Below are 15,917 nucleotides of genomic sequence, written 5' to 3'. Positions count from 1 at the left end.
ATTGTCATTCTAACTGGTGTGAGATGGTATCTCATTGTGGTTTTGATTTGCATTTCTCTGATGGCCAGTGATGATGAGCATTTTTTCATGTGTTTTTTGGCTGCATAAATGTCTTCTTTTGAGAAGTGTCTGTTCATGTCCTTTGCCCACTTTTTGATGGGGTTGTTTGTTTTTTTCTTGTAAATTTGTTTGAGTTCATTGTAGATTCTGGATATTAGCCCTTTGTCAGATGAGTAGATTGCAAAAATTTTCTCCCATTTTGTAGGTTGCCTGTTCACTCTGATGGTAGTTTCTTTTGCTGTGCAGAAGCTCTTTAGTTTAATTAGATCCCATTTGTCAATTTTGGCTTTTATTGCCATTGCTTTTGGTGTTTTAGACATGAAGTCCTTGCCCATGCCTATGTCCTGAATGGTAATGCCTAGGTTTTCTTCTAGGGTTTTTATGGTTTTAGGTCTAAAGTTTAAGTCTTTAATCCATCTTGAATTGATTTTTGTATAAGGTGTAAGGAAGGGATCCACTTTCAGCTTTCTACATATGGCTAGCCAGTTTTCCCAGCACCATTTATTAAATAGGGAATCCTTTCCCCATTGCTTGTTTTTCTCAGGTTTGTCAAAGATCAGATAGTTGTAGATATGCGGCGTTATTTCTGAGGGCTCTGTTCTGTTCCATTGATCTATATCTCTGTTTTGGTACCAGTACCATGCTGTTTTGGTTACTGTAGCCTTGTAGTATAGTTTGAAGTCAGGTAGTGTGATGCCTCCAGCTTTGTTCTTTTGGCTTAGGATTGACTTGGCGATGCGGGCTCTTTTTTGGTTCCATATGAACTTTAAAGTAGTTTTTTCCAATTCTGTGAAGAAAGGCATTGGTAGCTTGATAGGGATGGCATTGAATCTGTAAATTACCTTGGGCAGTATGGCCATTTTCACGATATTGATTCTTCCTACCCATGAGCATGGAATGTTCTTCCATTTGTGTGTATCCTCTTTTATTTCCTTGAGCAGTGGTTTGTAGTTCTCCTTGAAGAGGTCCTTCACATCCCTTGTAAGTTGGATTCCTAGGTATTTTATTCTCTTTGAAGCAACTGTGAATGGGAGTTCACTCATGATTTGGCTCTCTGTTTGTCTGTTGTTTGTGTATAAGAATGCTTGTGATTTTTGTACATTGATTTTGTATCCTGAGACTTTGCTGAAGTTGCTTATCAGCTTAAGGAGTTTTGGGGCTGAGACAACGGGGTTTTCTAGATATACAATCATGTCGTCTGCAAACAGGGACAATTTGACTTCCTCTTTCCCTAATTGAATACCCTTTATTTCCTTCTCCTGCCTAATTGCCCTGGCCAGAACTTCCAACACTATGTTGAATAGGAGTGGTGAGAGAGGGCATCCCTGTCTTGTGCCAGTTTTCAAAGGGAATGCTTCCAGTTTTTGCCCATCCAGTATGATATTGGCTGTGGGTTTGTCAGAGATAGCTCTTATTATTTTGAAATACGTCCCATCAATACCTAATTTATTGAGAGTATTTAGCATGAAGGGTTGTTGAATTTTGTCAAAGGCTTTTTCTGCATCTATTGAGATAATCATGTGGTTTTTGTCTTTGGCTCTGTTTATATGCTGGATTACATTTATTGATTTGCGTATATTGAACCAGCCTTGCATCCCAGGGATGAAGCCCACTTGATCATGGTGGATAAGCTTTTTGATGTGCTGCTGGATTCGGTTTGCCAGTATTTTATTGAGGATTTTTGCATCAATGTTCATCAAGGATATTGGTCTAAAATTCTCTTTTTTGGTTGTGTCTCTGCCCAGCTTTGGTATCAGAATGATGCTGGCCTCATAAAATGAGTTAGGGAGGATTCCCTCTTTTTCTATTGATTGGAATAGTTTCAGAAGGAATGGTACCAGTTCCTCCTTGTACCTCTGGTAGAATTCAGCTGTGAATCCATCTGGTCCTGGACTCTTTTTGGTTGGTAAGCTATTGATTATTGCCACAATTTCAGATCCTGTTATTGGTCTATTCAGAGATTCAACTTCTTCCTGGTTTAGTCTTGGGAGAGTGTATGTGTCGAGGAATTTATCCATTTCTTCTAGATTTTCTAGTTTATTTGGGTAGAGGTGTTTGTAGTATTCTCTGATGGTAGTTTGTATTTCTGTGGGATTGGTGGTGATATCCCCTTTATCATTTTTTATTGCGTCTATTAGATTCTTCTCTCTGTTTTTCTTTATTAGTCTTGCTAGCAGTCTATCAATTTTGTTGATCCTTTCAAAAAACCAGCTCCTGGATTCATTAATTTTTTGAAGGGTTTTTTGTGTCTCTATTTCCTTCAGTTCTGCTCTGATCTTAGTTATTTCTTGCCTTCTGCTAGCTTTTGAATGTGTTTGCTCTTGCTTTTCTAGTTCTTTTAATTGTGATGTTAGGGTGTCAATTTTGGATCTTTCCTGCTTTCTCTTGTGGGCATTTAGTGCTATAAATTTCCCTCTATACACTGCTTTGAATGCGTCCCAGAGATTCTGGTATGTTGTGTCTTTGTTCTCATTGGTTTCAAAGAACATCTTTATTTCTGCCTTCATTTCGTTATGTATCCAGTAGGCATTCAGGAGCAGGTTGTTCAGTTTCCATGCAGTTGAGCATGGTTTTGAGTGAGATTCTTAATCCTGAGTTCTAGTTTGATTGCACTGTGGTCTGAGAGATAGTTTGTTATAATCTCTGTTCTTTTACATTTGCTGAGGAGAGCTTTACTTCCATGTATGTGGTCAATTTTGGAATAGGTGTGGTGCAGTGCTGAAAAAAATGTATATTCTGTTGATTTGGGGTGGAGAGTTCTGTAGATGTCTATTAGGTCCGCTTGGTGCAGAGCTGAGTTCAATTCCTGGGTATCCTTGTTGACTTTCTGTCTCGTTATTCTGTCTAATGTTGACAGTGGGGTGTTAAAGTCTCCCATTATTAATGTGTGGGAGTCTAAGTCTCTTTGTAGGTCACTCAGGACTTGCTTTATGAATCTGGGTGCTCCTGTATTGGGTGCATGTATATTTAGGATAGTTAGCTCTTCTTGTTGAATTGATCCCTTTACCATTATGTAATGGCCTTCTTTGTCTCTTTTGATCTTTGTTGGTTTAAAGTCTGTTTTATCAGAGACTAGGATTGCAACCCCTGCCTTTTTTTGTTTTCCATTTGCTTGGTAGATCTTCCTCCATCCTTTTATTTTGAGCCTATGTGTGTCTCTGCACATGAGATGGGTTTCCTGAATACAGCACACTGATGGGTCTTGACTCTTTGTCCAATTTGCCCGTCTGTGTCTTTTAATTGGAGCATTTAGTCCATTTACATTTAAAGTTAATATTGTTATGTGTGAATTTGATCCTGTCATTATGATGTTAGCTGATTACTTTGCTCGTTAGTTGATGCAGTTTCTTGCTAGTCTTGATGGTCTTTACATTTTGGCATGATTTTGCAGCGGCTGGTACCGGTTGTTCCTTTCCATGTTTAGCGCTTCCTTCAGGAGCTCTTTTAGGGCAGGCCTGGTGGTGACAAAATCTCTCAGCATTTGCTTGTCTGTAAAGGATTTTATTTCTCCTTCACTTATGAAGCTTAGTTTGGCTGGATATGAAATTCTGGGTTGAAAATTCTTTTCTTTAAGAATGTTGAATATTGGCCCCCACTCTCTTCTGGCTTGTAGGGTTTCTGCCCAGAGATCCGCTGTTAGTCTGATGGGCTTCCCTTTGAGGGTAATCCGACCTTTCTCTCTGGCTGCCCTTAACATTTTTTCCTTCATTTCAACTTTGGTGAATCTGACAATTATGTGTCTTGGAGTTGCTCTTCTCGAGGAGTATCTTTGTGGCGTTCTCTGTATTTCCTGAATCTGAACGTTGGCCTGCCTTGCTAGATTGGGGAAGTTCTCCTGGATAATATCCTGCAGAGTGTTTTCCAACTTGGTTCCATTCTCCCCATCACTTTCAGGTACACCAATGAGACGTAGATTTGGTCTTTTCACATAGTCCCATATTTCTTGGAGGCTTTGCTCATTTCTTTTTATTCTTTTTTCTCTAAACTTCCCTTCTCACTTCATTTCATTCATTTCATCTTCCATCGCTGATACCCTTTCTTCCAGTTGATCGCATTGGCTCCTGAGGCTTCTGCATTCTTTACGTAGTTCTCGAGCCTTGGTTTTCAGCTCCATCAGCTCCTTTAAGCACTTCTCTGTATTGGTTATTCTAGTTATACATTCTTCTAAATTTTTTTCAAAGTTTTCAACTTCTTTGCCTTTGGTTTGATTGTCCTCCCATAGCTCAGAGTAATTTGATCGTCTGAAGTCTTCTTCTCTCAGCTCGTCAAAGTCATTTTCCATCCAGCTTTGTTCTGTTGCTGGTGAGGAACTGCGTTCCTTTGGAGGAGGAGAGGCGCTCTGCATTTTAGAGTTTCCAGTTTTTCTGTTCTGTTTTTTCCCCATCTTTGTGGTTTTATCTACTTTTGGTCTTTGATGATGGTGATGTACAGATGGGTTTTTGGTGTGGATGTCCTTTCTGTTTGTTAGTTTTCCTTCTAATAGACAGGACCCTCAGCTGCAGGTCTGTTGGAATACCCTGCCATGTGAGGTGTCAGTCTGCCCCTGCTGGGGGTGCCTCCCAGTTAGGCTGCTCGGGGGTCAGGGGTCAGGGACCCACTTGAGGAGGCAGTCTGCCCGTTCTCAGATCTCCAGCTGCATGCTGGGAGAACCACTGCTCTCTTCAAAGCTGTCAGACAGGGACATTTAAGTCTGCAGAGGTTACTGCTGTCTTTTTGTTTGTCTGTGCCCTGCCCCCAGAGGTGGAGCCTACCGAGGCAGGCAGGCCTCCTTGAGCTGTGGTGGGCTCCACCCAGTTCGAGCTCCCCAGCTGCTTTGTTTACCTAATCAAGCCTGGGCAATGGCGGGCACCCCTCCCCCAGCCTCGCTGCCGCCTTGCAGTTTGATCTCAGACTGCTGTGCTAGCAATCAGCAAGACTCCGTGGGTGTAGGACCCTCCAAGCCAGGTGCGGGATATAATCTAGTGGTGCGCCTTATTTTAAGCCCGTCGGAAAAGCGCAGTATTCGGGTGGGAGTGACCCGATTTTCCAGGTGCCGTCCGTCACCCCTTTCTTTGACTCGGAAAGGGAACTCCCTGACCCCTTGCGCTTCCCAAGTGAGGCAATGCCTCGCCCTGCTTCGGCTCGTGCACGGTGCGTGCACCCACTGACCTGCGCCCACTGTCTGGCACTCCCTAGAGAGATGAACCCAGTACCTGAGATGGAAATGCAGAAATCACAGTCTTCTGCGTTGCTCACGCTGGGAGCTGTAGACCGGATCTGTTCCTATTCGGCCATCGTGGCTCCTCCGCCGTTATCCTTCTTTTTCATGTACAAGCAAACCACCAAGTTATTTGACATCTTTACAATTTCACTTAGAGGTCACCAATGATAACTCATTTCCTAACGCTGGCCACTTAAGTAGAAGCAGATTACTGTGCAAGAGTAGCATCAACAGTATTAGTAATAAAGCAAAGCATCATTTTTTTTATTTCCAGCCTGATCACCAAACTTTCAGCTGAATCTGCATGTGATACATTGCAGGTGTCCTTATATATCAATAAAATTGATTGGAACAAATTGAATCAAACCCACTATTACAGTAAAATTTGGCAGCATTAATATGTGTTAATGATAGTTGGGCCATCTAATTTTGGGAAATAGTAACAATTAGAATGCAAGCCTGGGCAACATACCAAGACCCTGTCTCTAAAACCACAATAACAAAAAAATTAGCTAGGCCTGGGGTCACATATCTGTAATCTCAATACTTGGGGCACTAAAGTGGGAAGATCTCTTGAGCTGAGAGGTAGAGGCTGCAATGAACCATGATTGTACCACTGCAGTCCAGCCTGGGTTTCAGAGTAAGACTCTGTGTATAAAAAAATGAAGTAACTCAGAAATGGAAAACCAAACATTGTATGTTCTTACTCACAAGTGGGAGCTAAGCTATGAGGATGCAAAGGCATAAGAGTGATACAATGGACTTTGGGGACTTGGAGGAAAGGGAGGGAGCAGGGTGAGGGATAAAGCACTACACAGTGGGTACATTGTACACTGCTTTGGTGATGAGTGCACCAAAATCTCAGAAATCACCCCTAAAGCACTTATTCATGTAATCAAACACCACCTGTTCCCCCAAAACCTATGGAAATAAAAAATTAAAAAAAGAAAACCAAAACACCAAAACAACCAAACCAATCAACCAAACAAAATAATTAGAATACAGACTTTAGTGCTTCTGTTGGGCTTATTGGTGAACAACCTCACTTCTGGTTTTGGCTAAGATAGCATATGCTTAGTAAAAGAGGCTTTTTTTTTTTTTTATTATAAACTGAATGTTGTATTATTGCTTGAAACCAAATCTACTCAACAGATTTCTACTAGCCACAACAAGGATGGACTGCCACTCCTAATGTTGTTAGCTGAATTTTCTTTACATAATCACTTCTGCCTACATTTTATTGGCCAAAGCAAGTCATGTGGCTGCTGTGGAGGCCAATGATGATCGAGATACATAATTCTTCCATGAAGAGGAGCTTCACAAGTTGCACGGCCAACCCCAACATTTGTGGGCTGAGGGTGCATAGTCTTTTCACCTAGAGGGGCAGGACATGTTTTGAATAGCGTAAAATCTGCCAGGCGCGGTGGCTCATGCCTGTAATCCCAGCACTTTGGGAGGCCCAGGCGGGTGGATCACGAAGTCAGGAAATCAAGACCATCCTGGCTAACATGATGACACCCCGTCTCTACTAAAAATACAAAAAATTAGCTGGGCGTGGTGGCGGGCGCCTGTAGTCCCAGCTACTAGGGAGGCTGAGGAAGGAGAATGGCGTGAACCCGGGAGGCGGAGCTTGCAGTGAGCCGAGGTTGTGCCACTGCACTCCAGCCTGCGCGACAGAGCGAGACTCTGTCTCATAAAAAAAAAAAAAAAAAAAAAAACATAGCGTAAAATCTACCATAAAACATGATTCCATTTTCCCCATCAATCTCTCATATGCACTTCAAGAAAGATTTTTCTCAAGGCTAAAAATCCTCCATTTCTTTAATTGTTGCTCTAAGACATAGTTTTAAGTTCCTCTTCATTCTCTGAGCACATTTTACTTTACCTGCATTTCCTGGGCTGTTAAGCTTTGTGACAATAGGGACTGTGTCTTTTTTGTTCTCCACCAGATCTCGAAGGCCTAACACAGTACCTAGTAACTTAGAAGGCACTCAATAAATATTTATTGAAGGCATAAAATGCTTCTTTTAGATCATCGCCTGATCAGTGCAGGTCAAAGTAGAAATATTACCACGCTTATTGTAGATTTCCTACATCTTTTAATATAGCTTAGAATTATGTGTCTGTGAGCACATGATCCTATGAATTATTTCTGACCCTATTGTTGCCAGAAAAATGTCTGTAGACGTTGCTCTTAAATTTGGTTTCTCTCATGTATTATTGTACAATTGATTTTTGAACCTATATGCAGACCTTGACACTTACCTCATTGTAATATCCTGTTCCATTCAGTCCATTACTCCAGCTTGTCTGTATTTTCTCCAATCCTGATTTAGTTACCTAGTGTATTTAGTGTCCATCTCATATAAAGCACATGCAATCATATGCAAATCAGGTGGATTTGCCTTCCATGGCTTTGTTCCAGCCACTGATAAAGGTGAGGCAGGAAACATCTTCTAAGAAATGCTTTGTGGCACACCATCTGAGATGTTTTTCCAGCTTGCCATTGATCTGTTATTGGAAACTGAGTGTTCATGGGATTGCCCAGATAAGCAACACTGCATGACCCCATGGTGCCACAGGAGCCTGAGTCCAGGCTCTGTCACGTACTAACATGTTACTTTCCACATCTTTAAGCCCTGCTTTCCTCTCTGTAAAATGTAGGGTTGGAAACGGAGATGAAGTTGAGATTCATTACATGCAGTATGTAAACTGCTTAGCTCCGTGTCTGGTACCTGATAGGTACTAGAAACATGTTTTCTTCCTTTTCTGATACCACAAGTGTCCTGTTTGCTGCTCCTCTTTTTATTGGGTTCAGAATTAGAAAGCAAATTTACTAAGTCCCTTGATTCAGATTCAGTCCCCACACCCAGAATACTCACTCAGGATGTTGAAACGTAAATATAACCCCCACTCTCTGAAGTGGCAGCCAGGAACCTTGGAAAGGTCTCCAAATTCAGAGATACAAAAGCATATGTACTACATATTCCCAGGAATATCTTTGGAAACAGCCTTGGATATTTACCTAGGAAACCAACTTATAGTTTCCCTAGATAAATATGCTAACTAATTCTAATGACACTCTTGGGCCACACTTGTTTTTTGTTTTTGTTTTGTTTTTTAAAACAGATTTCTCTACCTAATTGTATTTTTGCTCAGGCACGTCCAGATCAGTTTGAGCTGGGTAACAGAGAGAAACACAAGAGGAATTTGTCTCTGAAAATTCACAATGTGGAAAATTTACTTGCAGCTAATAAAGAGGAGCTTCAGTGAGAAAAAAAAAAATGCTCTGGGGATTTCAGATATTTCCCTCCTCTTCTTTTGATCTTCAACGTCAAGTTCATGTTAACCTCGACTTTTGGTACACTTTTACTAATGAAATACCTACATATGTGCTGAGGACTGGCCTGGAGTGTTAAATTTATGGTGTAACCATTATTCTTTGTGTTAGCTGGGTATGGAAGAATGCCTGTTTTAGTGCATCAAGGACATTTGCACTTTGCCTCATTTTAAATACAGTCAGCCCTCTGTCTCTGTGGGTTCCACATCCGTGGTTTCAAGTAAGCTCTGTTCAAAAATATTCAGAAAAAAGTCTGTAGTGAACATGTATGATATGAGAGTATATGCTTAGGTTACATGCAAATTCTACACCATTTCATTTCAGGGCCTTGTGCATCCTCAGATTTTGGTATCTGAGGGAACTCCTGGAGCCAATCCCTCATTGACACTGAGAAATTACTGTACTGTTTTATTTGAGCCGGGTTAGTCATAGCTTAGTTAAGGTCCTTTTTCTGACTGGGTTCAAAGCCCACAGCTCTGGCCAAGGACTCAGACCTACCCTGAGTCCCAGTGATAAAGACTCTTTAAACTACTTTGGTGGTGATGATTGCATCACAGTGTGAATGTGCTTAATGCCACTGAAATGAACACTTAAAAATAGTTAAAATGGTAAATTTATGTTATGTGTATTTTACCATAATAAAAATATGCTAAAAAATGCAATATATGATCCTCCATTGAACTGTGAACCAAGAAAAAAAAGTTATAAAGGACATTTTTAGGATAGTTGATAAAACTTGAATACGAACTATAGATTAAATAATAGTAATGAATCAATATTAAAGTTTAGTGATTTTGACAATTGTTAAAAAACAAATAAGCAAAAACACTTTGGCAGAAAGGCAAGACAAAAGCTGAAATATTTCTAGCTGAAAGGAAAGTGCAGGAAGTAAGAGGCTGGGCCTGGGATCACCCAGCATGAAGGCTGAAGTTTGCAGGAGTCATGTGGATGAGAAGGAAAGCAGAAGGGGACTGGTCACCAGGAAACCTGAGATAAAGGGTGTGTGGAGGGAGGTGATTCCACCTGGCCCAATGTGTGTCAATCCCAGCTGCTGTGTATCAGCCATGTGCTATCATGTTCTTTGTACCTAGTTTTAGTGAATTCAGAATTTTTCTTTTCTACATTTTGCAATTACCATCTGCATCAATGCTGGATTACTTTGTGAACATTACCATCTCGCTTACGTGTAGAAAACAGTATGAAGAGCTGTAGATTGCTTCAGAAAAGTCTAAGCCAGGTTACAGTTGTTGAAAAACTCTTGATTTATTGTATGATACCATATGGTAGTTGAATTTCATGAATTTAGACTCCACTAACTCAAAATTTATAAAAATGGAGGCAGAGATCTTCCTGATTTGTCTTGTATTTAAAGAAAGAAAAAGTATCTATGAAGCAGATAAATAATGGAAGTTGGTCTGCAGATCAACCTCATTAGGAAGGCATGCTGTTCCCCGTACTTGAGAAGCAAAAATTTACTCACAAAGTTATTAGTATGCTAATTAAAATACATTATTCTCTATTCATCAAAATAAGTCTGCAAGCATTCCACTCCCAGTCATTTGTAAGCCTCTCTCCTTTACTGAGTGTAATAGTTTTTTATTTTATAGGATATTTCTTTTTAAATATTCCATAATTCATACTAAGCTATCCTTCATTTGTCTAAATCATTAAGTATTTTGTCTTACACTGAAATGTTTAGTGAGTGGTTTATGAACAGACTATTTTCAAAGAGTTCTAGGATGTGGCCTTTCTTTTCTAATGGAATAAATTCATTTGATATAGAGATAAATCCAGATAATGTAGGAGATTATGTTAAGGAAAAGGCAGCAAAACTGAGAAAGGTAAAACAGGATGGGAAGGAAGTAACCCATGTTGAGGTGATGAAATAAACGCTAGAGAGTTAGTGAAAACCATAGATTATAAATATTTTGGTAATTTAAGAACGTACCAGTGAAAAGGAAATAAACTACCAGGCAAGAATGAGAACAGTGTCTCTAATAGCACTGTCAGTCAGAGTGATAATTTTAGGGGAAAGTGTTTGGTCACATACCTGGTGGTTCCCTGAGATATCACATTGCAGACTCCATTTTCATCCTGAGTAATGGAGCGCAGATGAGTGTTTTGGATGGTGGCAAGGGATAGAGAGGATTACATAAAGTGGTGTTATTGCAAAACTCAGTGCAGAGGAGATGTGTTCCAGTCACCCAGCTCCCATTCTGGAGGCCAGAAAAAGCTAAAATACTTCATAACCAAATGCTTAAGTCAATGCAAATGTTGGATAGGCTGACAGATGTCAAAGCCCTCTCTTCCTCACTGAGTGAATAGTGAACCACATGTGATAAAATGAGGACCAGATGGTACTGAAACGAGTGTCTCTTCTCAGGAATATGTGTGTGTGTGTGTGTGTGTGTGTGTGTGTGTGTGTGAATACAGTTGACCTTTGAATAACACAGGGTTTAAGGATGTTGACCCTGATATGGTTTGGCTCTGTGTCCCCACCCAAATCTCATCTCAAATTGTAATTCCCATGTGTCAGGGGACAGACCTGGTGGGAGGTGATTGGATCATGGGGGCAGTTTTCCCAATGCTGTTCTCTTGATAATGAGTGAGTTCTCATGAAAGCTGATGGTTTTCAAATATGACACTTCGCTTGCTGTCTCTCTTGCTGCCTTGTGAAGAAGGTACTTGCTTCTCCTTCTCCTTCCACCATGATTGTAATTTTCCTGAGGCCTCCCCATCCATGCAGAACTGTGAGTCAATTAAACCTTTTTTAAAAAAAATAAATTACCCAGTTTTCAGTAGTTCTTTATAGCAGTGTGAAAACTGACTAATACAAACTCCTGTGCAGTAAAAAATCTTCATATAACTTGAGACCTCTCCAAAACTTAACTACTAATTGCCTACTGTTGACTGAAAGCCTTACCAATAACATAAATAGTCAATTAACACATATTTTGTATGTTATATGTATTATATACTGTATTCTTACAATAAAGTAAGCTGGAGAAAAGAAAATATTTTAGGAAAATCATAAGGAAGAGAAAATATATTACTATCTATTAGATGGAAATGGTTTATCATAAAGGTCTTCATCTTTGTCAACTTCATGTTAAGTAGGCTGAAGAGGAGAAAGAAGAAGAAGGGTTGGTCTTGCTGTCTCAGGGGTGGCAGAGGTGGAAGACGTGGAGGAAGTGGCAGGGGAGGCATGAGAGATAGACCCATGCAGTTCAAATCCATGTTGTTCAAGGAGCAACTGTATATGTATGAATGTATATGAATAGATACGATTATATAAAAATGAATATATAGATATTCATGGCTGTGATGTAGTACATAGGAAAGAATCACCATTTCATCTTTTGTTATGTAAAATTTAAAACATACACAAAGTAAACAGAATAGTAAAATGAATTCCTGTGTACCAATCACTCAGTTTCAATAATTATTATTCTTGCTTTATATTTATCTACACCCATTCCCTACCCCCTACTCAATCATTTTTAAGCTTTTGAGAGAAATTTAATGTACATAAAAAGATCTTAATAATTTGGACAAATGGATCTACCCATGTAACCCACATCACCATTTCATTTTCTCCCCCATGGTTTTCTACAGGTGTCTAAACCATGGCTGAAGTGCGTGGATCCCATTTTACTGTAAAGACAGGCAACCCAATGCCAATAGCTTAGATTCCATGGTTTCTTAGTAGTGGTGATGTTGAAGGGATGGCAATGGGAAGTAGAGGAAAGAATAGAAAGATCTAAGGAGCAGAGAAGAAAATGTACCCTGAAGTAAAGGATATGGATTTGGAATGGCCTATGAAAGAAAATGGGCAAGCTGCAGAGAGAGAAAAGAAGTTTCATAACTTCATGTACTCCATGAGAAAGAAGAGAATTCCTAATTTTTGACTTTTAGATGGCAGTTAGAGGAATCTCAAAACAATGCTTAAGAAGTTATCTTGACTGTCAGTGCATTAAAACCTCTCCCCAGCCTATTGAAAAAGCCTGGAATGAAATTCTGCTCATGCTTCACACAGAGCTTTCAGTGCATGTATCCCCTTCATCCTGCACTCCCAGCCCCTTCATCATGGGCACCCTGCCTATTCTCAGGGTGACTTCCTGGCCTGGTCATGTTGTTGATCATTATTGACATTCTCATTGCCTCTTGAATCTCACAGCATCTTGGGAAAATGAGGCACTAGCAAAAGAATACCCCAGAAGTCCCCATGCCCACTCTAAGTGTGCCCTCTCCTTATGACCCTTCTCAAAGTTTTCTCCTGCACCAGTTCTATTTTTAGGGCAGTTTTCTAACCTGCAAGACCTACCCTCCTACATAGTGCAGCTGAAACAAATCTCCAGAGGGCACGTTATTTCCTAGTGAATAATTCTACCACCCTCAGTTTTTTCTCTGGATCCCACCTACACTTGCCAGGTGGTTTCTTTGTCTGAGGCCAAGACTATTCTGCCAGTTGGTCCTCAGTGCTGTGGCTTGGAAATATCCTCAGAACTTTATTCCAGATGGCCCTTCATCTGCTAATCTCTAGCTCTTCCTGATTCCCATGTGGTCTGGATTGGTGGTATGGACCAAAAACCAGACTCAAAGATAGCTTATTGCTTGATAATGGGCAAGGGCAAGAATATTTGAGCAAATGATTCTGAAATAGAAAAGCAGGCTTGAGGGAAGGAGACAGGGCCATTTTTCTGTTGATGGAATCACTTTAGAGTTTTGTTTTGTTTTTTGAAGGCATCTGGTTTCCATGTCTGTTGGTCTTCCTAATAGAAACATGATAAAGCTTTAATATAATGCCCACTATTTTCTGTTTTATGCACTGAATGTAAATCATGTCAAGTTCAAAGACTGTATATTCAGTTTTCCTCAATGGTAGCTTGCTTTGTAGCTTGAGGAAAAGTAAGCTTTAATATATTTCTTTGTGGGTGAAAGACCAATATTGATCGATGAGGTGCTTTCATTCTTTCATTACTTTTTATAAGCTCACACATTAGGTTAGGAATAAGTTTGTTCCATCAAATCTAATCATAGCATCTAAGCAGCATTTTGGAGGTTAGCCACGACCAATAGTAGTATGCTTAGAACAACTCTGGTTTTCTCCAATAAACTCTCACTTAGCAACTTAAATCTTAAATTCTAAAAATGTATTTAGGGAATATATATTTATACATATATTATTTGTTGTATTAGGCCATTTTTGCCTTGCTATAAATACCCGAGACTGGGTAATTTATAAAGAAAACAGGTTTAATTGGCTCATGATTCTTCAGGCTGTACAGGAAGCATGGTGCTGGCATCTATCTCGTTCTAGGGAGCCCTCAGGAAGCTTACAATCCTGGCAGAAGGTGAAGGGAGAGCAGGCACATCACATGGTGAAAGCAGGAGCAAGTGCCAGAGAGACAGAGAAAGAGAGAGAGAAGGGGGAGGTGCCACATACTTTTAAATGACCAGATCTTGCAAGAACTCACTATCATGAAGATCGCACCAAACTATGAGGGATCCGCCCCCATGATCCAAACACCTCCCACCAGCCCCCACCTCCAGCACTGGAGACTACAACTCTTCTTGAGATTTGGGCAGGGACAAACATCCAAACTATAGCATATGTAGTGCACAGACACAATTGTTCTCAGAAAAATGAGTTCCTTTATTTTCTTTGTCTTTTTCCATAAAGTTCCAAGAGTTGCTAGGATTTGGTAAAACAGTATTCACACTGTCTCTATGTTTTTGGGTTTTAGTCTTTGGTTTTGTTTTTTCTCCTCACTTCTATCCCAGTCTTTGAGTTTCTATATAAGGAAACCTGATATTTTTTTGTTTATAATCACACAGAAACTCCTCTAGGCCCTTGGCCACTTTAACAAAAAATATAAATACCAATTGCATGTTTCTTTACTCCATTGTCCTTTGTTACTCTCGTTGAGCAATCCCGAGGTTTTATTTGCTCTTTCCCTCCTTTCCCGCTCTCAGTACTTCAAAAGTACAATCAGACCTTTGCTCAACTTAAAATACATCTTCTCTCCTACCCGAGTGGTACTTCTTATCTTATATTTTTGCACTGCTTACATGTTTCTGTTTTTTTCTCTAAGGACTTTGAGATTCATATGCTTCTTTAGTCTTCATGATATATCTTTGTCTCCTTAAAAAAATTTAGTGCTCTCTCCCTCTAATTTTTGGTGGCTTGATTTTGATGGTGCTACTTTAAAAAAATATCTATTACTAAAGAACTTTTGAATTATGTATGAAATGCATGTCCAAATTTAAAAATAATAATAAATTTGCCATCAGCATGTCTTTAAGGATCTGCTTTGTTTATTCCCCTCCTGTAGCTGAGGACTATTGCTGGTTTGGTTTGGACTCATGGGTCCAAATGAGCTTTTGAACGTAAAATTGTATGTCATTTGGAACTGAACTGCTTTCACACACTTTAGGTGCAAAAATGTGAAATGACAAAAGCCTCGTATTGGTGTAATTACTGGAGGTAGGATTGCTGGGCTAGATGAAGACTGGGGCTCCAAATATGCCATGGCCAAACTAATCCCCTCATTGATTTCTACCTGTGTTACTTTTGTACTCCTAGTCACTAAAGCTATTTTAACAATATATAATGACATTTGTAACCTGTATATTTATATATTGAATCAGAATCTCTCCAGGTAGTTGGTAACAACAAAGAAGACATATACTGGTGGTTAAAATAAATTTCAGGTGATCAAATCTTTGGCCAACTTCAACAGTAGCAAAACATAATTGCTTTGGGAGGCCAAGGCGGGCAGAACACCAAGGTCAGGAGATAGAGACCATCCTGGCCAACATGGTGAAACCCCGTCTCTATTAAAAATACAAAAATGAGCTGGGCGTGGTGGCACATGCCTGTAATCCCAGCTACTCAGGAGGCTGAGGCAGGAGAATTGTTTGAACCAGGGAGTCAGAAGTTGCAGTGAGCCAAGATCACACCACTGCACTCCAGCCTGGTGAGAGAGCGAGACACTGTCTTAAAAAAAACAACAACAAAAAAAAACAAAACAAAACAAAAAACAATAATTGCTGTGCTTCTAGTTCAGCAATATCTGTGAAAGTGAATGCTAAGTCATAATTAAAGTCTTGAATTTCTACATCTTTTGAGGAATTTCTCTTGAATACATTCTGTAGGCCTGTTTAACAAGATGAATCTCTTAATGCAGCCATATTATATTCAGAAAAAGGTACTTTCCTCCTGCAAGACTCCTCACTTTCTCTGGGAAAAAAATTTGGGGGAAAGTTGAGAGGATCTTGATATTATTGTAGTGGAAATAGGTGTTCATGTCCTCA

At 39.9% G+C, this 15,917-nt stretch overlaps 1 long non-coding RNA gene across 1 annotated transcript in view, besides 1 other annotated feature; it reads left to right on the top strand.

Moving 5' to 3' along the window:
* LOC107985962 (uncharacterized) overlaps positions 1 to 15,917 on the top strand; it is a 243,604-nt gene that overhangs the window by 74,094 nt on the left and 153,593 nt on the right. The gene's annotated exons all lie outside the window — the stretch shown is intronic.
* Positions 5,009 to 5,541: an enhancer, noted in NCBI's record as "H3K27ac-H3K4me1 hESC enhancer chr2:176624132-176624664 (GRCh37/hg19 assembly coordinates)". NCBI's record gives its function as "activates a minimal SCP1, AML or CMV promoter by ChIP-STARR-seq in primed H9 embryonic stem cells {active_cell/tissue: H9 hESC(primed)}" and the evidence as "EXISTENCE:reporter gene assay evidence [ECO:0000049][PMID:30033119]".

Source organism: Homo sapiens, chromosome 2 (assembly GCF_000001405.40).
Source record: "Homo sapiens chromosome 2, GRCh38.p14 Primary Assembly".
In the NCBI taxonomy this organism is placed as follows: domain Eukaryota; kingdom Metazoa; phylum Chordata; class Mammalia; order Primates; family Hominidae; genus Homo; species Homo sapiens.
Note: the sequence above shows the minus strand (reverse complement) of the source record. Positions and strands in the feature narration are given on the sequence as shown.